The 26,890-nt window shown below is 40.4% G+C and overlaps 1 protein-coding gene across 4 annotated transcripts in view; it reads right to left on the reverse strand.

The window, feature by feature from the left end:
• Positions 1-26,890, reverse strand: part of FGF13 (fibroblast growth factor 13) — a 590,297-nt gene that overhangs the window by 245,765 nt on the left and 317,642 nt on the right. The window contains exon 1 of one of the 4 annotated variants that reach the window (NM_001139502.2): positions 6,996-7,064. The exons of the other annotated variants lie outside the window; for them this stretch is intronic. The gene's annotated coding sequence lies outside the window, so the exon portion shown is untranslated. Of the gene's footprint in view, positions 1-6,995; positions 7,065-26,890 lie in introns of those variants that run through there. 4 annotated transcript variants of the gene reach the window in all.

Genomic DNA, 26,890 nt, shown 5'->3' on the forward strand with positions numbered 1-26,890 from the left:
TTTTACCCAATCTGGTACATTCCCTTCTTGCACATGACCTCTATCCTCTGACAACCACTCTTGCCACTGTTCATCTGAACCATTTGTCCACCTTTCATTCAGTGACTCCTGCTGCCCTACCCAAAAATAGATTTATCCAGTCTTGGAGGTGGACAAAAAATTCCAGTGATTAGGTAGACATTAGATTTATACAAAGCTTCCTCCGATTTCAGAAATTCAACTTGACTCTTCAAGACAGATAAGGTGGTAAAAGTGGCTCCTGGTTTATTTCTGGATCTGGAAGCCCCATGCTTTTTGAAAGGCTGCTGAGCCCCATGAGAATAGCTGCCAAAGAACAGGCCTTTGGGGGGAAATTTTGCCCATATAGGCAGTGCCCCCAGCCTCGAAAACACAGCCCTCCCATTCAGGACTCCGAAGTCTCACAGGAGTAGTGCAGAGTAGGAGGACACAAGTGCACATGTGCAAATCCACACATCCACAGACACACAGACACTGACAGGTGGCATACTCAGACACAGAGGTGATAAGAATAAGTGACTTTAGTGGTGGGATGATGGTTATAAGCAACTTTTATAAAAGAGCTAGTTCCCATTGCAAATGTTTTTCCATTGACTAACCATCAGGTGGGCAAGCTTGCATCTAGGTTTGGTTTCTCAGCAGCAGCAGTGCTGTTCTGCCATTGTCAAGGTTAAGGACACAGTCAGGGAGCAGTCATGGTAAGAGGAGAGAGTTTAACAGAGTCTAAGCCTGCTGACCTGGCCTAACGTACTCATGTTCACAGAAATACAGTATTCCCATTTCAAACTAGAGGTAAAGAAAGAACCAATCTTATAGTAAACCTTAATCTCTGATAGAATAAAAAAATTCCAATGCAATGTATCCTTTAAATATATTTGAAGCTAAATAAGTTAATCATTTATCTTTCCTATATTTAGAATGTTTTGGTTTACTCTATAAAAGTTGTATCAATAGACATAACATTGGCCTCAGAAAACAGCTACCTAAATATTTAGTACGTGACAAACACTATGATGAAATCCTCTATGTCATTTCAAACAAAATTTCTTTAGAGATAATTTAATGCCACTCCTTTGTTTTAAAACATAAGGAAAATAAAACTCAGGAGGGGAAGCAACTTCTTAAAAGTCACATAGTAAGTTATTGAAAAAGCCTATCATGTAGCCAGGATTCCAGTGTGTTTGTCAACAAGTCTAAAGTAAGACAGCTTTTGTCGGGTGTGGTGGCTCACGCCTGTAATCTCAGCATTTTGGGAGGCCAAGGCAGGTGGATCACCTGAGGTCATGAGTTCGAGACTAGACTGGCCAACATGGCAAAACCCTATCTCTACTAAAAATACAAAAATTAGCCAGGCATGGTGGCACACGCCTGTAATCCCAGCTACTCGGGAGGCTGAGACAGGAGAATTGCTCGAACCCAGGAGGCGAAGGTTGCAGTGAGCCAAGATGGCACCACTACACACCAACCTGGGCGACAGAGTGAGACGCCATCTCAAAAAAATTAAATAAATAAATAAAGTAAGACAACTTTGTAAAAGCATCAATATATTAGATAGCTATTGGGTTCTTCAGTATTTTTTACTTTTCAAGACTACCCCTGTCTCCAAAAAACTTTTTCCCTTATTCAAAGACAGAAAAGCAACCAGAGACAGCCTAGGAAACTGTTTTGACAATGCCACAGAGGCATCTGCCCCCTCAGCAGGCCACTGTAATTCGCAAGGTTTGCTGGCTTCAAGCTGGAAGCAGTTAACAAGCCCTCAATTATTTGATGATGATGCTGTTTGCCTTTAAATTAACTCTTCCGAAAGATAACAGAACATAATTAATGATACATGATTTTAAATCAAAGCAAATCTGAGATCACCAAGGCCACAGCAATGTAGACAGCAATGGGACTACCAATCAAAATTATTAGACACATATTAGTGACTCCAACAATAAAATACTTAAAAAATCTATGAAACAGAAAATATGGCAAAACATACAGATTATCAGACATCCTTACCTAATCAGAAAGAGAGAAAAAAAAATGGGGTAATTAGAGCAATGACTCTTCCATGTCACTGAGCACCTGTCATGCTGAAAAGTGCATTCAACCACAGGATGTGTTAGCTCAAGACCTCCATTTTTCCTCCCAGCTAACCATCTACTTATCTCTATATAAGATTTAAGCTTTACTGCCACCATGGACACTATGAAGTTAGCAGGTTTAAATGTGCATGAGTAACTTAAGTAAATAATTCACTGAATGGAACAGATCAATGCTAATGGTCTTTCAATTTGTTCAAGGTAGAAACAACTTTTCAATGTTTGGAAATTTCAGTTACCTTCTCCTTTGCAACCTCCCTCATTCTCCAAGCATTACTAGGTCTTCATCCATCCTATGTTTCTTCAGGCTAACTTGCTCTTTTCATGGTAGAATGAAATGCAAACTCCCTACCATGCTGGCCCCTCACCTCCTCAATTTTATTATATGCCTCTCTTCTGGCTCACGTTAGCTTTCCATTAGTATCTAGAATATGCCAGGCTTTCTCCTGCCTCAAGGCCTTGTACCCCTTTATGTCCTTCAAGTGGCCCCTTTATGTCCTTCAGGGTTCCACTAAAATGTCACCTCCTCAGAGATGCCCTTTTAGCCACGTTAGGGAGGTTTCAATTTGTCACAGTCTATAATTACTTATATATGTATGTATTTCTCTCTTGTCTGGCTTTCCCTACAAGAATATAAGCCCCCTGAGGCAGAGACATTATATGTCTCATTGACCATTTATATGTGGGATCTAGGATAGTGCTTACTCATAATACACACAAATAATTCTCTTTGACCTATGTAGCCTTCCCATGATGCTAAGGCATACAGTCAGCTCCCTCTCCTAACTCTCAATTTCCACATACGTTTTAAGAAATTTATCTTGTGGTGCCTCGGGACAGGTTTTTGGTTATTATCATGGGCCTTAAGTAAAAAGCTAGATGATCACTATTTTGACATATATCTTTTCTCCACTACTTGAATGTAAGCTCCCAGGACAAGAACCATGTCTCAGTCTCTTTTGCAATCATTTTTGCTTTCTTAATGGCCTATAACACTTTTCATACAGTTGTTTTGCATGCACAAAATGAGCCACTTCTAGGGATAGTCATGCCTACATTGAAGGTGTGTGCTATGAAGCGGTAATAAATGAAGAGTCTAGCCCATTGCCTGGCACCTAGTAGGCACAAAGTAAATGGTATCTGCAATGGAGGAAACACTGTCCCTGCCAGAGATGAAACTGTTGAGCAATGCACTCTGGTAGTTGGAAAACCAGGAGCCTCACCCTGACTTGATGCTTTCTGTGTAACCTTTAGAATGTAATTTCACCTCTGTGAGCCTCAGCTGCCTCATTTCAAAAATAAGGGGTTTAGACTAGGTCAGGGTTTCTCAACACTGGAACTTTTGATATTCGAAGCCTGATAATTCTTTGTTGTGAAGGGCTGTTTTGTCCATTGTAGGATGTTGAGCTGTATCCCTAGCCTCTACTCACTAGATGCCAGTGGCACTGCTCCCCAAAGTTGTGACAACAAAAAATGCCTCCGGACATTGTCAAATCCCCCCAATCCCCGCCCTGACAACTGAAGGCAAAATTGCCTTATTTGAGAATCACTGGACTTGATGGGTAAAGTCCCTTTGTCCTACAAACCTCTTTGTGAAGAGTTAGCTCCAATCCTGGAAACACTTTTTTGACCCTCAAAGATGCTCAGCATCCTGCAAGGACTCAGCTATTCCATTTTGGAGAGTTTGGCCCATACAATGCAGACCAGGAAGAGAGGGGAATGCACTGGTGTGCACATCAACCTCCCAGGTAAAAGAAAGCCTCTGACTGGCAAAACATAAAGCACCACTGCTACACATCAGTGGGGTCTTTACTCAGCATAGGACAAAGACTTTCTCTACTGAGTGGCATCACTTGGCATTCTGTGAGTAGCCTCAGGGGCCTGCTGTGAATGGCAGGTGGGGCCCAGCCAACCGAAGTCCTGGCCCAGGTGGGAACGAGAAGCAAAAAGGGGAGGTTGGGGGACCCTCTTTCACCTTACCTATGCAGCTTCCTCAAAGCCCAGCCTTTCCATCAGCCAAAGGCCCATGTGGCCAGGGAGGATAGATCCCCCTGCTGAAGACAGAAATAGGTCCACTAAGAAGAAAAGTGCAGCTTCTACCAGAAAAGCAGAGTCTTCTTCCAGAAGTATTCTGCCCCTGCATGAATGACATATACTTTTTTCTGTGCTACAGTTTCAAACAGATAAGAAAGATATGGTAAGACTAGAGAGGAGTACATTCCACCTTAGAACACTGGTTATTGCTGTACATCTCAATGGTACCATCAGGAGAGTTGACATCAGCTTGTTAGGTTCAAGTCTTATAGCTTTAGCTCATTGCACTCCCTTTCCATAAACGTTCATGTCCAAGTCGAACTTAAGTGAGCCTCACAGTCACCTAGAGGGCTTATTGAGACTGACTGTGGACCCCCACCCAGGAGTTTCTAATTGAGGTGGTTTGGGCTGGAACTTGAGAATTGGCATTTATAACAAGTTCCCAGGTGGTGCTGATGCTGCTGGTCAAGGATCATACTTAGATTGGAGAACGACTCTCCCAAGCTACTTGTCTCTCCCAGGTTTCTCTGCCTGTATGCATTCTCCTCTGCCCAGTACGAACGCAATCTAAACCAGTGGTTCTCAGTTGTGGTTTAGCATTAGCATCACCTGGAGGACTTTTAAAAACCAAAACACCCATGTTGCCACACCAGATCAATTAAAACAGAAACACCTGGCTGGGGCCTGAGCACTGGTAGGTTTCAATGCTCCTCAGATGATTTGACTACAGAGCCAAGGTTGAAAATTACTGCTCTAAGTAAAGCCTTTCTTTACTCTCTCCAGTGAAAATTCCTCTCTCTCTTCTCTCTCTCTCTCTCTCCTCTCTCTCTCTCTCTCTCTCTCCTCTCTCTCTCTCCTCTCTCTCTCCTCTCTCTCTCCTCTCTCTTCCCTGAGGGCAGGCTCTGGCTCATGATTATCCAATTATTTGCGTTTCTTCCCACACCTCAGGCTAGAGTATGTACTCTTGTGCAGTGGCGCTGTTCACTGTGTAAAATTGCACAGCAGCACACGTCTCTACACAGAAGCCCTGTTCCAGCCTCACCCACCAAGGTGGTCTGCTCAGAGTTCTATAGCATTAATCCAACCCTGCACTGTGTTCTCATTTTTAAAAATGACCATCTCTTGACTAGCCAGTTTTGTTGAATTGAATAAAATCAAATTCAGTTTTTCAAAATACCCCCCCAAGAACTTAGGTTAGCAAGAAAATCAGGACCTACAACATGTGTCTTTGCCCTGGAGCTGGTCTATGATGTTGTATCTTTCTACTCTCATCCCTCCTTACCAGCTCCCCACCCTTAGGGTCTGTACAGAATCATTTCAAACTTTATATAGGCTGCAATCTCAGAGCAGTCCAAGCTCGCAGTCACAAAATAAAATGGTACCAAGAACTAATTGGAAATCTTGTTGGTGAATGTCTAGTTAAATACACTGGACCTTCTTTAATGACATCCACGAGAAAGGGGACTGAGGCTACATTTTTCCAGAAATTGTTTCCTTGAATCTGTAATTCAGTGGTTCTTTATCCTAGCTGCACATCAGAATCACCTGGGGAGCTTTAATAACATGCCCATGTTTGGGCCCCACCTCCAGAGATTCTGGTTTAATTGGCCTATGAGTGGGGCTTGGGCCTTAGTAGTTTAGAGTTCCCAAGGTGAAGCAAGGGTGGCAAACCAAAGTGTCTATCTGAAGAAGCCAAGAGAAAAAACATAAACGTATGCACAATTAACTGCAAAGACCATGTTTTTCTGAGCTTAGAAGAAAGAGCTTTAGAAGAAACTAGGACTTTAAAGTGCCAGGCCCCTTCATCAAGCCTGGAATTCAAATGGATTTTCTCCTCTCTTAAGAAGAAGGTTTCAAAAACCTTGGGCGATGTGGCAGATTGCACTGTACCAGCAACGGCCTTATAATCAACCTATCCTGCTTTCAAATCACAGTTCCGCTCCCACCCCCACCACCACTTACCACCAGTGTGACCTTGGGCAAGTCCTGTATACTCCTTGAGGCTTAGTTTCCTCAACCATAAGATGAGATGATAGCTAGGGTTAAGTGTAAATCCTGGCCCAGCATCCTGGGTTTCACCTGGGAGCTTGTTAGAAATGCAGACTTGCAGGACTGCTAACTCCAGATCAGCAGAATCAGAATCTATTTTCACGAGGTTCTGAAGCGACTGCTATGCACATTAAAGTTGGAGATGCACATTGCACAATAGCTGGCACACAGTCACATAGTCAGTACTAAGTATGGGTCAATTCTCTTCTCTTCTGAGGCCAAGCATTATTTGGGCATCAGTTAAATATATACACATGGAAACACAACTAAAGGTTGGGGAAAGAACATCACCTACAACATGACCTTGTGCAAGTCAATTTCCTATCTCTTACAGATGACCAAACTGAATCTCGACGTTTAATTCCTAACAAGGTCACTTTAACAATTAAACAAGATAATGTGGGTGGGAGCATCCAGCATAGTGCCTACCCCATGATAGCTATTCCCTATGTATTAAGTACTCCCTGGTGGGTGCAATGGCTCACACCTGTAATCCAAGGGCTTTGAGAGGCTGATGCAGGAGTTTGAGACCAGCCTGGGCAACATAGTGAGACCACATCTCTACAAAAAAAATTTTAATGTAAAAAATATTAGCCAGACATAGTGACACACACCTGTAGTCATGGCTACTCAGGAGGCTGAGGTGGGAGGCTTGCTTGAGCCCACGAGTTCGAGGCTGCAGTGACCTATGATTGTGCCACCCTACTCAAACCTGGGTGACAAAGCAAGACTCTGTCTGTATTAGTCCATTTTCATGCTGCTGATAAAGACATACCCCAGACTGGAAAGGAGGTTTAATGGACTCACAGTTCCACTTGGTTGGGGAGGCCTCACATCACGGTGGAAGGCAAGGAGGAGCAAATCACATGTTACATGGCATCAGGGAAGAGAAAGAATGAGAACCAAGCAAAAGGGCTTTTCCCCTATAAAACCATCAGATCTTCTGAGACTTATTCACTACCACAAGAACAGTATGGGGGCACTACCCCCATGATTCAATTATCTCCCACCGGGTCTCTCCCACAATATGTGGGAATTATGGGAACTATAATTCAAGATGAGATTTGGGTGGGAACACAGCCAAACCGTATCACTGTCTCTAAATCTATCTATCTATCTATCTATCTATCTATCTATCTATCTATCTATCTATCATCTATCTATCTATCCTCCCTAAGTAGTAACTGAAGCTGAATTCAAGTTAACGTGAAGGTGTCTTCCACTCCCACCACGCACAAAAAATTTTCAACCACTTATAACTGCTGGTCCAGAGAAGGCCTCACACGAACTTCACTTTAGTTTTCTAACCAAAGTAGGAGAGATGACTCAGTGGAGAAAAAGATGGCTGTACTGCTTATGGATTATCAAATTGACTAATAGTATTTCTTTCAAAATGCTGTCTGAAATTTCATGAAAATGTTCAATATGTGACTGGCTTCATTGAAAAATGTTTGGTCTCACTCACTTTGCTTTAAATGTAAAGTGCCTCTGGCCACAGTGTCCCAGGAACTGAATTATCTAGGCAGCCTTTAAAGATTATTTACATATCGATTCCAGGCATTGTTTTTGCACTAAATTTTGCCTCTTCCTCCATGCATACTTATGGAGGTCACTGCCAACATTTCAGGCAAAGTTTCTAGAAAACTCACTGCCCTATGCATGTTGTTCCAGCCAGCGGGGCCCAGTGTGTGTGTGTGTGCGTGTGTGTGTGTGTTTGCATGCACGTGTGTGTGAGGCTGGACATATGTCTTTGACATTAGTAACAATTAGTAGAGAAACTCCAGTTAGGCTCACAGAGTGATGTCATAGTTACTCATATAAACTTTCTTGCCCGAAATCTTCTCAGCCTTTGATCTTAACACCTTTCTCAGGCAATATTATAGGCTAAATTGCTAGAGAAAGCCTATTTTCTTCTCTCAATCTTTTCAATTTTTGGAGTATTAAAGCTCAGAGGACTGAGGTTTCCTCACCAATATACTATAGAGTGCATTCTCAGGCATTACACTCCTGTCTTCCTAGAAAATGTGCTCATCAACACCACACCTCTTCACATGGCATGCTGGAAGAGCCCTGCACTATGCATCATCACTATCCCCTTCACACTTTTATTTGGTGTTTGGAAACCTAATCTCTGATCCAAATTTCATGGGTCAAGCGAGAAATTTGGTCCTGATGGTTGCCCGAAATTTCCAGGGATGTGTCCAGAGCTCCCTGCCTCACGAAGACCCCACCCCAGGCTCAGTTGACCGCTAGGAATTCCTTGGTTCTAGTGCTAGCGGCAAAAAAAATTATAGTGCAAATGTTGCTGGAAAATTATATGATTGGAAGAATGATCAATGCCATCATGTGCACCTCCATCTTTCCATAACCACCCCCCAAAAGTATCTAAGTAGCAAACTCATTTTACCTTATTAGTCAGGAAATACTTTTATTTTCAAGCAGGTAGGGTGCTCTTCTTTTCCTTCCTGCCAACGTTCTGTGATCATATATGCTTCTGTCACCTATTGATGCTTTTCTCCATGCCCAGGAACAATGGTGAAAATTCACTCAAGTACATTAACAACCCATCTTGACTGACCTTTTGGCAAAAACCATGAAGCAGATACCAATAGGTGGGCTGATCTACAGAACCATTTCTGAAATATGAAGTATGTGTATGACATTTTGGCTTTGTGCTACCTGGCTTTCCATATGATGTGGCTGTGCCACTGATGAGAGTAGTAGCAAAAGCAGGGAGGAAGTACAGGAAGGGATGTAGGAGAAGCTCTTCCAATTGATCAAGACATGAGTCCTTGGATCCTCTTGTTTCATTTAAAGAATGCACTGGTAAAATCCTCTCCCTAGTTAGTCACAAGCTGCACTCAAGCTCATCAAAAGGCAGTTAGTTCAATTTGGCCCCAACATTGTATTCATCAATTTGCAAGCTCAAACGGTCAACACCTCCAGGAAATGCATTTCTCTACCTATTTGCTGTGGAGGAATTTGTCCTCCTTAGATACTTAAAAGAAGCACATTTTTAGCTAATGGAAAACACTAGAACATAACTCTCAATTACGATAGTTGAAATCCATTAAACAATTCTAATAGAGAAATAAATATTCCAACTAAATGGGTGCTTTTCTTTGCATTCTTGCCTGCCACAGATTCTAATTCCCCATTCAGTAAATAGCGCTGGTGTTTATTTTCAGGGGGGCTGTCCTTGCAGGGATTACAGATGGAAGAATATATTGTGCCAGGTTAGAACCCGCTCCAAATTTGTTTGAGAAGAATTTCAAAGCAAATGGTATTTTAGTTTGCTTACTCTTGGCAGCATTACTATTTAAGAAAAAGGCATTACGACTTCTTTGAAAGCCTCAAGTCATCAAATGTCCTTAAAATAGCGTTTAACGATTTAGGTATAAATGAATTATCAACACTTATATGTAACTCCCCTCTCATTCCCTATAAACCTAGCTGGTTAATTGAGGTTTTAGCAAAAGAGCACTTGGCCTACTTTGTTTTATTAAAGGCAATGTCCTCCACATTGAGCTCTAAGCTGCATTTGATGCTTAGATTCAGAACATTAGGAATTGTCACATTATTTTTTTAAGTAGTAAAGTAGAGTTCTTGATATATACCATACACTTTTACATATCATTTTTAATATTCATAGCAACCCATGTTCACATTTAACAGAGAGAAAACTGAATGTCAAAGAGGTTACAACATATCCCGATTAACCCAGCTATCAAGATGAAGAGCTGATTCAAAGCAAGGTCTGCATGCCTCCCAAACCTACATTCTTACCAACTATCCCATACCTTCTATTTGTCTGCGTATCTCTGAAAGGCTGAATAATGGTCCTCAAAAATGCCCATGTCCTAAATCCCTGGAACCTATGACTATGTTACCTTAAGACTGCAGATGAAATTAAGGTTGCTATTCAATTTACCCTTAGATGGGGGATATTAGCCTGGATTATCCAGGTAGGCCCAATGTAGTCACATGAACTCTTAAAATAAAATGAGGAAGGTAGAATAGTGGAGCAGAGAGATGAAAGGAAAGAAGAGGCAGGAGGGATCAAAAGTTTGAAGAGACTCAGCTTGCCATTGCTGGCTTTGGAGATGTAGGAAGGAAGCCATGTGCCAAAGAGTACACATAGTCTCTAGAAGCCAGGGATGGCCCTCAGTTGACAGCCAACAATAAAGCAGAGATCTCCATTCCGCAAGGAATTGAATCGTGCTGAGGATCAAAAGGAGCAAGGAAACAGATCCTGCCTAGAGTCTCCAAAAAGGAATGCAGCCCTGCCAAGACCTTAATTTTGGCCTAGGGAGATGGGTGTCTGATTTCTGACCTACAGAAATGTAGGATAATCAATTTGTGTTGTTTGAGCCCCTAAGTTTGTGGTAATATGTTATGGCAGCAATAGAAAACAAATGAAATGTTCAAATCTTGATACTGAAAACCTAAGTAGGTTTTAAAGTCCACATGCCTTCTATAGTTATAACAATAACCAAATATTGTATGCAGAATTGACACAGCTTCACTGTATTTAACCTGAGAAGAAAACATACACACAAAGAAGCTTCCTTTGAGGTTTTTATTTTCCATTCCTTCTCATCTCACTACCTTTCAACATTCTTCCAACAAATATTTATTGGAAATCTACTGTATGCCAGGCACTATTCAAAGCATACAGTATATAGAAGATGGGGGGGGAACAGACAAAAATTCTTGCTTTCATATAGTTTACACATTTGAGGGTGGTGAGGAGTAAAGAGACAGTAAACAAATTGTTAAGCTGAGACCTCCAAGGGTATCTGAGTCACTGATTGGAAAGAAGCTGCTCCAAATTGCTGCTAGATCCACCTAAGTGAGAAATAACTATTTATGAGTTAAGTTCCTAATGTGTCAATTAGCTTTCTGCTATTGCAGTATAATTCAGCCTAATCTACATAATATAGAAGTCCTCACTAAGAAGAAGACATTGGCGCAGAGGCTGGAGGAAGTGCGGAAGGGAGTGAGCCACAGAGATACCCAGGAGAAAAGAGTTTCCAGTAGAAGTATCAAAAATGTAAAGGTCCTGAGATAGGAGTGTGAATTGCTGTTTTTGTAGAAAATGAAGGAGACCAGTATGGCAGGAACTGAGAGATTGAAGAGGAGAGAGGTAGGAGATGAGGCCAGAAGGGTAAAAGGAAGTCTGCTCATGTAGGCCATTGTAACAGCTCTGGCTTTAATTCTGACTGGCGGGCAGCCACTGGATAGTGTCAGGCAGAAGAATGATGTGAGCTGGCTTATGTGTTCAAAGGCTCACTCTTGCTGCTATGTAGAGAACAGACTGCAGGGCGCAAAGATGGAAGCAGGGAGACTGGTTAGGAGGCTACGGCTATAATCTAAGCAACAGGTGACAGTAGTTAGGACCAGTGGCAGTTGTGTAGTTGGGAAGAAGTAGTTAGATTCTGGTTATACACACTAGGAATATAAAACTCTGATGAACAGAAGTAATGGCTGATGGCAGGCAGCATCTAATGACACTATTTAATATAGATACCCTTTGATAATAATAACTCCCTGGGATATACATTTCACAAACGGAAAATAATTACTGTGGATTAGCTAACTCTACTCTTTGGGCAAGGAGGAGAGACATCCCACAGTTAGCTCTCTCCTGTGGTGTCTCATTGCACTAAATCTATCTATGTAGAATGTGATCAAATAGGTACCCGGCAAATATTAACATTGCAGGAGAGTACTGATGGCAGTGATGGAAATGATGATGGGCAGTTTGCAAAACAACATCCTTGAAAAACTGATTCTCTAGAACTCCTACACCATTCTTGTTTCTGTCCTCTAGATCAGCCTAAATCAGCCTAAGCTCTACTCCTTATTGAATAAGCCACATCATCTGTGTGAATCCAGATTTCCTCAACTGGAGTTGACCAGATGACCTCTAATTTTTTTCAGAGCTTACATGGGGCAGGGGGTTCTTCCCTCTTCTTGATACTGTTTTTGATATGAATCGCATTAGCATAACAGTGCTGGCTTCCCTCTGGCCCATGATTCACTCTTTTATGGAAGTGGTAGACTGACTGGTGAGGTTTCAAAAGATAAACTAGCATTCCTAGCTCAGCTCCTTCCTTTTTACTTTCTCCTTGGGAGTCAGCTCACTGGAGAAAGCATTCATTCTTCTCTGCTCCTTTATGCCTTAAGTTTGTAGGGGGAGGGCCTTTGTGACAAGTGAGGGGTGGAAGAGGGGGACAAGGGTCTACTGTCACTCAGGATTTTCTGTGGCCAAGTGATTACGTCTATCCAATTGCTTTTTATACACTGTTCTCATTTTACTTCTTAATTTGTTTGCAACTTAGACAGGGGGAGAAAAAGAACGTTTTGAGGTTTTTTTGTGCTCCGCTGCCACAACTCCCAGCAATATTTGTGAATGCTCAGAATCATGGCCTTCATAGTATTGGAGAAGCCTAAATCCTCTACAAAACGTGAAGCTTTGCTGGCCAATTTGGCTCTGGCTTCCTGTGTTTCATGGTCCAGATCAGTACCAGGAGACCTGCACTATAAGGCCAGAAAAAAATTGGAAGGAGGAATGGTAAAAACACCAGGTAGAAGGAAAGAGAGAGGTGAGGGAGTGCCGGTTTGGTCCTTCACAGATGGAAGGTACAGACTGCCACATTAATTTAAAAACCTTCTGCTGCCATGGAAATCACTAGTTATTGACTGAAGTTCTTGTAGTCCCACAGGAAGCTCTGTCAAAATCTCTATTTCAAAGCAGCAATAAGGACGTGGGAAAGATAATGTAGGTCATACATGGGAACAGGAAAACTAACGCAAAGGGGAAATAAAGCTGTGAATTCATTCTTCTTGAATGGCATTGGAGTAATGTCCACACTGGGAGGCAGCACAAGCTTCCCAAATCTTACCTCCCTGTCTTTTCCAGTGGCCCCTGTCAGTGAGTCTCTCCTGACGTGCCTCCGATTTTCCCATTAATTAAATTCATGTTGAGAAACTGGTCATTTGGGGAGTGTTTATTGGTGTCTTCTAGAAATTGAAACATGCCAGTTTTCACAAGCTTCAAAAATGTCAGCCAGAGTAAAACCATTTCCCGACTGGATTAAGAAAATGTGGCACATATACACCATGGAATACTATGTAGCCATAAAAAAGGATGAATTCACGTCCTTTGTAGGGACGTGGATGAAAGTGGAAACCATCATTCTCAGCAAACTATGGCAAGGACAAAAAACCAAACACCGCATGTTCTCACTCATAGGTGGGAATTGAACAATGAGGACACTTGGACACAGGAAGGGGCACATCACACACCGGGGCCTGTTGTGGGGTGGGGGGGAGGGGGGAGGGGTAGCATTAGGAGATATACCTAATGAAAATGATGAGTTAATGGGTGCAGCACACCAACATGGTACATGTATACATATGTAACAAACCTGCACGTCGTGCACACATACCCTAGAACTTAAAGTATAATAAATATATATATATATATATATAAAGTAAAATTAAAAAAAAAAAACCATTTCCCAATTCTCATACTAAGGACAGCTCTCTGCGTCTTCCTTAATGGACAGTTAAGTAGAATTTAAGATTAGACTCAAGAAAGACAGGGCAAAAAGTTCCACGTAAATTATCTCCCAGCCAATTTAGATGCTTACTTGCTGAGTGGTAAAAGAGATACTTTTAGAGTTCCTATGAAATGCAGAATAATCACAATCCTTTAAGAGTTGCCTAGAGGGCAATTCTTTCTTCTCTTTTTTTTCCCCAACGGCTTTTTGTAACACCTGTTTAACTGACAGCCTCTCAAAGACAAGCTTACTATATATGAGATATTCTAAGCTACTCAAGACATCACTTGACGCAAGTCTCTATCTGGCAAAGCGATCATTAGGTGAAGTTATGGCAAGCTTGAAAAAGATGTTTTGGGCAAGAGAGCAGGATGGGTCACACTCAAATCTAAGAAGCAGCAATGATCATGGACTGACTTACATGCAAATTTGGGTTGTCAGCCTTTTTCAGCAGGCCATTTCTCTGTAAGTTCCTCTTCTCTGCAGGGAACATTGGGAGCTCCTTACCAAATTCCTGGTCAGCAGAAGAGTAACTTGGTTCTCTTTTTGATATCTATACTTAGGTCAGTCCTAATGAATGGAGAATGTGGCAAAGGCAAATAGACAGAGGAGGCAATAGGCATGCCTAGCTGGGAAACTACAAGCAGCCTCGGGCCTCTCTCTGTACTTAGCTTCATATTAGCCTCTCTGCTCCTGAGAAAGTGCAGCTTGTGACTGGGCGAGGTGGCTCATGCCTGTAATCCCAGCACTTTGGGAGGCCGAGGCGGGCGGATCATGAGGTCAGGAGTTTGAGACCAGCCTGACCAACATGGTGAAACCCCGTCTCTACTAAAAATTAGCTGGGTATGGTGGCACGTGCCTGCAATCCCAGCTACTCAGGAGGCTGAGGCAGGAGAATCACTTGAACCCGGGAGGCGAAGGTTGCAGTGAGCCAAGATTGCACCACTGCACTCCAGCCTCGGTGACAGAGCGAGACTCTGTCTCAAAAAAAAAAAAAAAAACAGAAAAGAAAAGAAAGAAAGTGCAGCTTACTTCTCTTCTCCCAGCAGTCCAGCAGTTCACTGGAGACACACAGCTTAAAACCTTGTAACCACACCTGTAATGTACTCCAGCAACAGATGCAGGAAACAGCCTGATGGAGGCCACTCATCCTTGACTGGTTTATTGGAATAGCAGAAACTGGTTGAGTCCATTTGTCATAATAACTGAATTAGTGTCACTTGTTAGGGGAAATGACATGCGATTACTGAAGGACAATGTGATGGCTAATTTTATGTGTTAACTTGACTGGGCCATGTGGTGCCCAGATAGTTGGTCAAACATTATTCTAGGTATGCCTATGAGTGTTTTTTTTCTTAATCGGTAGACTGAGTAAAGCAGATTACTCTCCATAATGTGGGTGGGCCTCACCCAATCAGTTGAAGGCCTGAATAGAACAAGAGGACTGATCCTCTCCTAAGTAAGAAATAATTCTTCATGCCTGGTGACCTTTGAACTGAGTCATCAGCTTTTCTCTTGCCTTCAAACTTAAGCTGAAACACTGGCACTTCCTGTGTCTCAGCACTGCCAGCCAATGGACTAGAATTACATCATCAGCTCTCCCGGTTCTCAGGCGTTTGGACTTGGATTAGATATATAAATCAGCTCTTCTGCATCTCTAGCTTGTTGACTAACCTTGCAGATCTTGGGACTTGCATACCTGCATAACCATGAAAGTCTGATTTATTATTATCTCCCTATCGGCTTGTACACACACACACACACACACACACACACACACACACACTTTATTGGTTCTGTTTCTCTGGAGAACCCTGATTGAAGCAAACGCACACTATGGGAAGCTGAAACACATAAAGGGACCACTTGCCCATTTCTTTTACCAAGTTTGACATGGCTGCTTTGGTTTTTCATTGTAAAAATCAGTTCTCTTCTTTCCATCTCTCAACAATACAGGGTGATAGTTCCACATTGTGGTGGACACACCCTAGAATGATGCCCAATGGATTACACCCTTGTATAACCCTCTCACCTTAAAATGTAGGCAGAACCTCTGATATGCTTTTAGCCAATAGAATATAGTAAAGGTAAAGTGATTTTTAAGATGTAATTCATGCCCCTGATCAGTTGATTTTGAGTTCATCAAAAGGCACACTAATCTGGGTGGGTCTGACTTAATCAAGTGAAAGCATTAAAAGAGAGATTTACCTTCAGGCCTTAAAAAAGTAAGCTGCCATGTGAGCAGGCCTACGAGGGGGCCACATGGCAAGGGACTTTGGGAAGTCTCTAGGAGCTCGGAATAGGCCCTGTGTGACAGCCAGCAATAAATGGGGATGTTGGTCCTATTGCCACAAACAACTGAAGTCTGCCAACAATCACATGAGCTTAGAAGAGGATGCTGACCTCCAGAAAAGAGCACAGCCGTAGGCCTTGTGAGATACTGAGCTACCTATGCTACGTCCTCTAAGCATTCACTGGCAGAGAGTTTACTAGCCCCAAATGTGCTGTCATTTTGAGACTTTGAGTGTTAAGTTTGAAGAAACAAACTATGGTGATGGACCAGAATATTTAAGATGGATCTCTCTATGTGGTCTATAAAGATTACCATGATAAAGATAAACAATTATCTCAATACTTAGTTACCTCAGAAAGGATACAACAAAAGAAAAATTTCTTAATAGAATCTAAGTAAAGCAAATAAAGTGTCGGTACTATTTCTTCCATCAAAAAGTCATTTTAAATATGAAATATAAAAGCTTCCTTTTAACAGAAAACCAAGCACCGCTTGTTCTCACTTATAACTGGGAGTTGAACAATGAGAACACATGGACACCAGGTGGGGAACAACACACACCAGGGCCTGTCAGGGGGTGGTGGGGGGTGAGGGACGGGAACTTAGAGGACAAGTCAGTAGGTGCAGCAAACCACCATGGCACACGTATACCTATGTAACAAACTGCACGTTCTGCACATGTATTCTGTTTTTTTTTTAAGAAGAAATGAAGAAAAAAAAAGGAAAAAAGCCTCCTTTTAATGAACATTTCATTTTTATTCATAGAAGGGACACATTTGTGATCATCTTTATTTTCTCTATTAGAGAAAAAGACGTGAAAACACTTTTGCTTCATTTTAAATAATGAAACCACTTTTGAATAACTTTATTTTTAATGGGAATTTTTTATTGTGGTAAAATATATACAGCGTGAAACCAGCCATTTAAATAGTTTTTAAGTGTACAATTCAGTGGCATAGATTATAATCACCATGCTATGAAGCCATCACCACTATTTCGAAAATCTTTTCATCACCACAAACAAATTCTGTAACCATTAAACAACAACTTTCTATCCTTCTCTTCCCCCAGCCCCTAGTAGCATAAAATCTACTTTTTATCTCTATGAATTTGCCTAAGTGGAATCACATAGTATTTATCCTTTGGTAACTAGCTTCTTTTACTTAGCATAATGTCTTCAAGCTTTATTCATGTTGTAGCATGTATCAGAACTTAATTCCTTTTTATGGTTGAATAATATTCGATTGTGCATATATACAGCACATTTTTATTTATCTTTTCATCTATTGATGGATTCTCAGGTTGTTTCCACCTTTGAGCTAATCGTGAGTAACACTACAGTGAACTTTGGCATACATATATCTGTTTGAGTCCCTGTTTTAAATTATTTTGTGTATATACACCTGGGAATGGAATTGCTGAATCAGATGATGAGTCTCTATTTAGCAATTTGAAGAGCTGCCAAACTATTGTCCACAGTGACTGTACCATTTTACATTTCCACCAACACCACATAAGGGTTCCAGTTTCTCCACATCCTCATCTTCACTTATTTTCCTTTAAAAAAGTATACACCCTAATGAGTGTGAAGTGGTATCTCATTTTTTTTTTAATTTTATTATCATTACACTTTAAGTTTTAGGGTACATGTGCACAATGTGCAGGTTTGTTACATATGTATACATGTGCCATGTTGGTGTGCTGCACCCATTAATTCGTCATTTAACATTAGGTATATCTCCTAATGCTATCCCTCCCCCCTCCCCCCACCCCACAACAGTCCCCAGAGTGTGATGTTCCCCTTCCTGTGTCCATGTGTTCTCATTGTTCAATTCCCACCTATGAGTGAGAACATGCGGTGTTTGGTTTTTTGTCCTTGCGATAGTTTGCTGAGAATGATGGTTTCCAGTTTCATCCCTGCCCCTACAAAGGACATGAACTCATCATTTTTTATGGCTGCATAGTATTCCATGGTGTATATGTGCCACATTTTCTTAATCCAGTCTATCGTTGTTGGACATTTGGGTTGGTTCCAAGTCTTTGCTATTGTGAATAGTGCCGCAATAAACATACGTGTGCATGTGTCTTTATAGCAGCATGATTTATAATCCTTTGGGTATATACCCAGTAATGGGATGGCTGGGTCAAATGGTATTTCTAGTTCTAGATCCCTGAGGAATCGCCACGCTGACTTCACAATGGTTGAACTAGTTTACAGTCCCACCAACAGTGTAAAAGTGTTCCTATTTCTCCACGTCCTCTCCAGCACCTGTTGTTTCCTGACTTTTTAATGATTGCCATTCTAACTGGTGTGCGATGGTATCTCATTGTGGTTTTTATTTGCGTTTCTCTGATGGCCAGTGATGATGAGCATTTTTTCATGTGTTTTTTTGGCTGCATAAATGTCTTCTTTTGAGAAGTGTCTGTTCATATCCTTCGCCCACTTTTTGATGGGGTTGTTTGTTTTTTTCTTGTACATTTGTTTGAGTTCATTGTAGATTCTGGACATCTTTGTCACATGAGTAGGTTGCGAAAATTTTCTCTCATTTTGTTTTTTATTTGCTTTGCCCTAATGATTAATGATATTGAGTATATTGTCATGTTCTTATTGGACATTTGTATATCTTCATTGGAGAAATATCTATTTAAGTCCTTTGTCCATTCAATTTTCTTTTGTCTTTTTGTTGTTGACTGTTAGGAGTTCTTTCTATATTCTATATATCAAGCCTTTATCAGATAAACAACTCACAAATATTTTCATCCACTGTGTAAATTGTCTTTTTCACTTTCTTGATAATGTTCTTTGATACACAACGATTTTTAATTTTGATATAATCCAATTTTACTTCCGTTGCTCATGCTTTTGCTGTAATATCTAAGAACCCACTGCCAAATCCAAATTCATGAAGAGTTACCCTTATGTTTTCTAAGAGTTTTATGGTTTTAGATCTTATATTTAGATATTGGTTAACGTTAGTTAATTTTTTTATTAAGTTCGGGGGTACATGTGCAGAATGTGCAGGTTTGTTACATAGGTATACACGTGCCATGGTGGTTTGCTGCACCCATCAACCCGTCATCTACATTAGGCATTTCTCCTAATGCTATCCCTCCCCTAGCCCCCCACCCCCTGACAGTCCCCAGTGTGTGATGTTCCCTTCCCTGTGTCCATGTGTTCTCATTGTTCAACTCCCACTACCTAGTCAATGCCATTCAGCACATAGGCATGGGCAAAGACTTCATGACTAAAACACCAAAAGCAATGGCAGCAAAGCCCAAATTGACAAATGGGATCTAATTAAACTAAAGAGCTTCTGCACAGCAAAATAAACTATCATCAGAGTGAACAGGCAACCTACGGAATGGGAAAACATTTTTGCAGTCTATCCATCTGACAAAGGGTTAATATCCAGAATGCACAAATAACTTAAACAAATTTACAAGAAAAAAACAAACAACCCCATCAAAAAGTGGTGGAAGGATATAAACAGACACTTCTTAAAAGAAGACATTCATGTGACCAACAAACGTATGAAAAAAAGCTCATCATCACTGGTCATTAGAGAAATGCAGATCAAAACCACAGTGAGATACCATCTCATGCCAGTTAGAATGGCGATTGTTAAAAAGTCAGGAAACAACAGAAGCTGGAGAGGATGTGAAGAAATAGGAACGCTTTTACACTGTTGATGGGAGTGTAAATTAGTTCAACCATTGTGGAAGACAGTGTGGCCATTCCTCAAGGATCTAGAATCAGAAATACCATTTGACCCAGCAATCCCACTACTGGGTATATACCCAAAGGATTATAAATCATGCTGCTATAAGGACACATGCACACGTATGTTTACTGTGGCACTATTTACAATAGCAAAGACTTGGAACCAACCCAAATGCCCACCAATGATAGACTGGATAAAGAAAATATGGCACATATACACTAAGGAATACTATACAGCCATAAACAAGGATGAGTTCACGTCCTTTACAGGGACATGGATGAAGCTGGAAACCATCATTCTCAGCAAACTAACACAAGAACAGAAAACCAAACACTAGATGAGTTTATTTTTGCATATGGTATGAGATATGGGTTCAACTTGCATGTGGAAATCCAGTCGACTCCGCAGCACCTGTTAAAGAAACTGTTTCTCCATTGAATTGACTTAGCACTCTTTCAAAAATCAATTTATCTTAGATGTATAGGCTTATTTTTGAAACCTCAATTCTACGCTATTAGTCTATATGTATATCCTTATGCCAGTATCATACTGTTTTGATTACTGTACTTTATAGAAAATTTTGAAATCTATTAGTGTGAGTCCTCCAACTTTGTTCTTCTTTTTCATGATAGGGGTCTATATAGGAGGCCCTTGTAATTCCATATTGTTTTGAGGATGAGCTTTTACATTTCTGTAAAAAATGCTATTGGAATTTTGATAGGGATTGCACTGAATCTGTAGATCACTTTGAGTAGTACTGACATCTTAACATTATTAAGTCTTTCTATTCATGAACACAGGATGCCTTTCCACTAATTTAGGTTATTAATCTCTTTCAGCAATGTTTTATAGTTTTTAGTGTGTGCAAGTCTTTTACCTCCTTTGTTAAATTTATTCCTAGGTACGTTATTCTTTTAGATGTTATAATAAATGGAACTGTTGTCTTAATTTCCTTTTCGGATTTTTCATTATTGGTGTTTAGAGATACAACCAAATTTACATGTTGTTTTTGCACCCTGCAATTTTGCTCTATTTGTTTATTATCTCTAGTAGCTTTCTTGTGGATTCCTTGGGATTTTCTGTACATAGTATTATGTCACATGCAAAAAAAACAGTTTTATTCTTCCTCTCCAATTTTGTAGCAGGGTAATCTTGGCCTCAGTGAATGAATTAGGAAGTGTTCCCTTCTCTTCTATGTTATGGAAGTGTTTGAGCAGGATCATTGTTAATTCTTCTTTAAATGTTTGGTAGAATTCACTAGCAGAGTCATCTGGTCCTGGACTCTTTATTGGGTAGTTTCAAATTACGGATTCCATCTCCTTACTTGTTGTCAGTCTATTTAGATATTCTGTTTCTTCATCATTCAGTCTTGGCAGATTGTGTGTTTCTAAAAGTTTGAACATTTTGTCTAGGTTATCTGATTTGTTTGTATATAGTTGTTTATATTATCCTCTTTATATTTATATTTCTGTAAGGTTGGTAGTAATGTCTCCACTTACATTCTCATTTTTGTTATTTGTATCTTCTCTGTTCTTTGTCAATCTAAACAAAGTTTTCTCAATTGTTCTGATCTTTTCAAACGACCAACTTCTGATTTCATTGATTCTCCATATTGTTTTTCTCTATTCTCTATTTCAAAAATCTCTGCTCTAATCTTTATTATTTCCTTCCTCTGCTTGCTTTATGTCTAGTTAGTTCTTCTTTCTATAGTTTCTCAAGGTGTAAAGTTAGGTTATTGATTTGATATCTTTATTCTTTCTTAATTTAGGTATTTACAGTTTTAATTTCACTCTGAGTAGTCCCTTTGCTATATCCCATAAGTTTTGGTATGTGGCTCTGTGTTTTCATTAATCTCAATGTATTTTCTAATTTCTATTGTGATTTCTGTTTTGGCTATTGGTTGTTCAAAATTCCTGAATTTTCCAGGTTTCCTTCTATTATTGATTTCTAGTTTCATTCTATTGTGGTTGGAGAAGATACTTTGGATGACTTAGATCTTTTTTAAACTTCTGAGACTTATTTTGTAACCTAACATATGGTCTATCCTAGATAACTTTCCATGTGCACTTGAGAAAAAATGTTTATTCTGCTGTTGTTGGATGGAGTGTTCTATATATGCCTGTTAGGTCTAGTTGATGTACAGCGTGATTCTATTTAACAGTCATTTTATGAGAAGAAGTTTGGCATTATCAGGTTGGAATCAAATAACTTTCTCAAAATAATTAACTTTCTTCTATCATCCATCCTCAAAGGAGCCCCAAATTATTCAGGATAACCAACAAAACCTTTAGCTCCCCACTATGTAAGCTGTTACATCAAGGGAAGCATGGTTTCATTTTACACCTCAGGAAACTCAAGCCATCCAGGGTAAACTAGCTGTTAGCCTCAGCTCTCATTTTGTAGGACTCAGTTGGGCTGGTTTCAGTACAGAAGTTAACCTGTTTAGTGCAGTAGACCAGTGATTCCCAAACTTTCTTCAACAGCCGAACCCTTTGTTCAAACAAACTCTTGCATGGAAACTCAATACATAAACTTGTTTGAGGAAGGGTTAAAGAGGAATCCCTGCTAGATTTCCTCCTTCCCCTTCCCTCCCTCAAGCCTCCCTCTTCATCCCAGAGGTTTGAAAACCTCTGCCCTAGATCACAGGCTTTGAGGCTAGGAGAAAAGATAGAGAAACCTGCCCCCCAAAACTTGTCTATCCTCTCTGCCTCTAGGATAGTGGCAGCCACCACTGGCCTATGGAATACTGTCAGGCACAGAAGTAGATATGATGTAAAGAAGAAGCACAGACACATGGATCAAGCAAATTACAGTGTTGTCATCTTTGGCATCAGCTGTCCAAGCCTTGCATCAGCTTCAACAAAGAAGTTTTCTGCTGCAGTGTCAGCACTCATTTCACTGCAACTTTTCCATGCACCAAACAAATAAATTCAGCCTAGTGTGAACATTTCCTCTCTATTCCTGAGATTGCAGAAGTAATCGCCTCTGATTTGGAGGTAAAGCCCAACTTCATCTCTGTCAGCCAGAATTGTATACAGCAGCATCTTAGCCAACATATGGGAATTAGATATTGGGTAGAGGACCAGAGACGAGTACATGTGATCCTACCTCATAAAAGAAAGCTTTTCTTCAGGTCATAAGGTGAGCTCATGTCCAAACTGGGATACCAAGTTTGAATTTAGAAGAGCAAGCACAGGCTAATGGAGGGAAGATCAATCACTTTAAGGGGATGGAAGGCATGCCACCACGAAGCGGAGGTATAGAGTCATGGTTACTGAAAATCTCATACAATGGTGTATGGGATTAATTGATGATATGTCTCAATAATAGTCAACCAGGAGCCAAGACAATAAAAAGAAGGTGGCAAATATGCTAGCAGATAACAGAGATAGACAAAGAAATAGGTGTCTTACATCTGATGAAAAGCAATGTAAAATGAGATCCAGGAATAATACAGCCACAATCCAGAATATCAGAGCTCACAGAACCACTCTGTGGGAATCACAGCCAATCTTCAGGGGGCTTTAATGAGAAGAGCACTACCTCAGCAAATTATTTGGAGAAAACAAAGATTTGGCTTGAATAAATGGAAATTCATTGGCATCCCCACACAAAGAAGAAGTAAAATGATCATATTAACAAGCAAAATGCTAAAAAATAAGTCATTATCTTTCCCTGACACTTTCTCCAGAAGGGTATAGCAGTTAGAAGACGTGGGGTCTATTTCTGACTTAGCCACTTGCTAGCTTTGTGATCTTGGGTAAGTCACTTAAATCTCTGAGTCTTTATTTCTTCATCTGCAAACTGGAAAAAATTGTGACTCCATTTCCTAATTCACAGGATAGTATTAATTAAGGCAAGAGACAGGGCAATTCACACCATTTGGACTACTACAGGTGTTGGAGAAATAGAGAGCCAGACAAAAGGAGTATATTATACAATATGAGTTTCCCTGGTCTTATACCTTAGAAGTGGTTTTGTGAAAGGGAGAATCAAATGTCCTCAGGACCATGGTCAAATCACATGCCAAAGATGGGTAGTGGAGAACCTCAAAGAGTTGGAGCAGCTTTTCCCAATCTTGGATTTGCTCATTCAGAGCCCATGCAAGGGAGAGGGCCTCCTGTTGGAATTTTCTCACACTGCTTGCTAAAGTTCATACTTATAAGCAGACACCTGTTACCCAAAGTATTTGTTCTCTAAACCTTGTCCCCAATAACAAAGTCCATTTGCCCAAACTAGTGAGAAGTGGAGAAAAGTCAAATTTGTTACTTGGTATTATTGAGATTAGTTCAGATTTTCCAGCCACAGCTTATTTCCCCTTCTTAAAGTTGATACAAGGAATATCTTTTTATTGTCTTGGCTCCTGGTTGGCTATTATTGAGAAATATCATCAATTAAATGACGTAAAGACAAAGTGACATAAAGCACTAGGGTATCTCAGAAAAGGACAAATACTACATTCACACACACAATTGCAAGAGGACAGGAAGGAAGTCGATATTTATTGACTAGGATTTCAAATAACTAAAAGGAGGCATCTAATGGGACCTTCCTGTGGATTCACTTATCAATGTAAAAATGAATCAATCGCTGCAACACCATGCCATTGAGACCCTAGTTAAAATGCTCCCCTTTACTGAGTGACAGAATTAGAAAGACATTCACAGATGTCGAAAATGGCACCATTAGCCATCTAGTTCAAAAATATCTTTCCTAGCTCCTTTAGACTGGCAAGAATGATCTGCCTTACCATCAGGGTGCCTAGTTTAATAAAATATAACTCAAAGTTGACACTTGCAGAGAAAAATACAGCATATTAGCTTCTAAAATTATGTTGTTGAAAGTTTGTTGTTTTAGGTCAGGTTCCTTAGGTAGAAGCAGATCCTGAGATGGATTATTTGGGGTAGAATGGGATTAAGAAGGAAGGGGAAATGAAGGAACTAAAAAAGCAAGGCTGTGGTCTCACCTGGAGTCTAGCTCTAACTGACCCCAGGAGAAGCTCAGGACCATGAATGGAACCATAGGATTGGTCTCACCTTGAGGCCAAGGGGTTGAGCCAGTCATTGGCTGTGGGCTGCCCCCAGTGCTTCTGCTATAGAGAAGGGGGTGACTATAAGCTTTAGCAAACAACGCTCCAAGTAGCTAAGGGATAGGTACCTCTGCCTGGTAAAGGGGATCAACAGTGTCCACTACACAGTTGAATATCACCAGTTACTTTGTAAACTTCTTTCCATGGGTCAGCCAACTCCTGGCCACTTCTTTGACTTCATCTCCCATTATTCTCTGTCTTGCTCACTCTACTTCAGCCACATTGGAGTATATCATCATTGCAAGGTCTCTGCTTGGAGCTCTCTGTGAGCATGTATCTGCGTTACATCCTCCCTTAACTCCTTTAGTTCATTATTCAGATGTCATCTTCTCCATGAGGGCTTCTCTAACCCCCCCCGCCAATACTACCACCCATTACGGCCCCTCTTGAATGTTAACTCCAACAGGGCATGAATTTTCATCTTTATTATTATTCTTCACCAATGTATCTCCAGTGTCTAGAGCAATGCCTTGTTCATTAAATATGTGTTAAATAGATGAATAAATATTTCCTTAATTTTAATTTCTTCTACCCTAAGCTTGAGCTAACTGGAATATAATTCCAATGTTCATATATTTCCCTGTACTTCATCTACACCACTTCCAGTGCATTCGTTTCCCTTTAAAAAAATAACTACGGTAATGGTATTGTTTATTCCCACTTCGTATTTTCAAATGTTCACCAAATCAAGTACAGTCATTGCATCCACATGGGTTATGAGTCATGTTTGTTTTGAGAATGAAAATACTTAAAGCTACCAATTCTGCCGGTCATGAGGGACAAGGCACTATAAGAAAGAATGTACTTTCACTTACGAAGTGCAAAAATGACATTCAAATGGAATGAAGGTGCGTTCTACATTCTAAAAAAGACCAAAGCCCCTACCCCCACCCCAATGAGCTGCATCTGAACAGAAATCCAAGTAGCTTTTATTAACTAAAGACATCCATTATGTACTATTTATTTTGAAACCTAGAAAATAATGCATGCTACTTTTGTATTCCTATTTATAATACAGTGTTTTATGAACAAAGTCAATACTTACGGAGTCAGTCTTTTGAATCTGGAATGAAAAAGAAATCCTAGTATTTTGAAAAGCCAAATGTTTTACTAACTGATTCATTTCAATTGGGACACAAAAACAGAATTGCAAGCTCTGGTAGATTTCACCCATTTCCCATAGTAAAGGTGCACAGCAATGGCTCCAAAACCTTAGTAGTTTCATGACCTTGGGCTTTCTCAGCTTTGTTTTCTCAGCTATAAAATGTGAATAACCCTCCTCAGGGTTGTTGTGAGCATCTCATGAGATCATGGATGTGAAAGTACTCTGTAAACAATAATACACATGGTTTGAGGTAAATCTGGCCTCTCAGTAGGCCTCTAAAATTCAGCAAGTATAAGCGTTGTGTTTCATAGTTTTAATTACTTGGAAAAAAAAACTCCACCACACTAGGCAGATATAAAGTCCTTGTAAATTATGACCACAAAGTACTATGGATACGATGGTAGGAAACCTGGATTCAATAGTCACTTTTAAGTCCAGTCCTGTGCTTTTGTACCTGTTAAACAACTATGACTGGGAGTCCTGCCAGGAAGAGCAAACTTTGGCCTTTATCCCAGACTGCTCCTTTGTCTCTGGGATAGTGTCATCTACTTTGTTCTAGTCTGGCAAGTAGATCCAATGTTGCATGGTGGTTAAGATCATGGGTTGTGGCATCAGATTGAATGAGTTTGCATCCTATAACCCTAAATTACTAACTGAGCAAGCTTAATAATGCTGCATAATTATCTCCCTGAGTCTCAGCATTCTCATTCGGAAAGTGGGCAAATCAGTACAAGTATTTACCTCACTTATAGGATTGTTATTAGGATTAAATAAATATATGAAATGTGTACAATGTCTAGCTCACAGCAAACTCCAGAAGGGCTAGCTATGATTGTCACACAGATGAGCTATACCCAAATTCTGTTTTTGTTTCAATTTTACTTTAATAGAATCAAGTTCCCACCGTGCTAAGTTAGCACTATGG

Source organism: Homo sapiens, chromosome X (genome assembly GCF_000001405.40).
Source record: "Homo sapiens chromosome X, GRCh38.p14 Primary Assembly".
NCBI classification, from domain to species: Eukaryota; Metazoa; Chordata; class Mammalia; order Primates; family Hominidae; genus Homo; species Homo sapiens.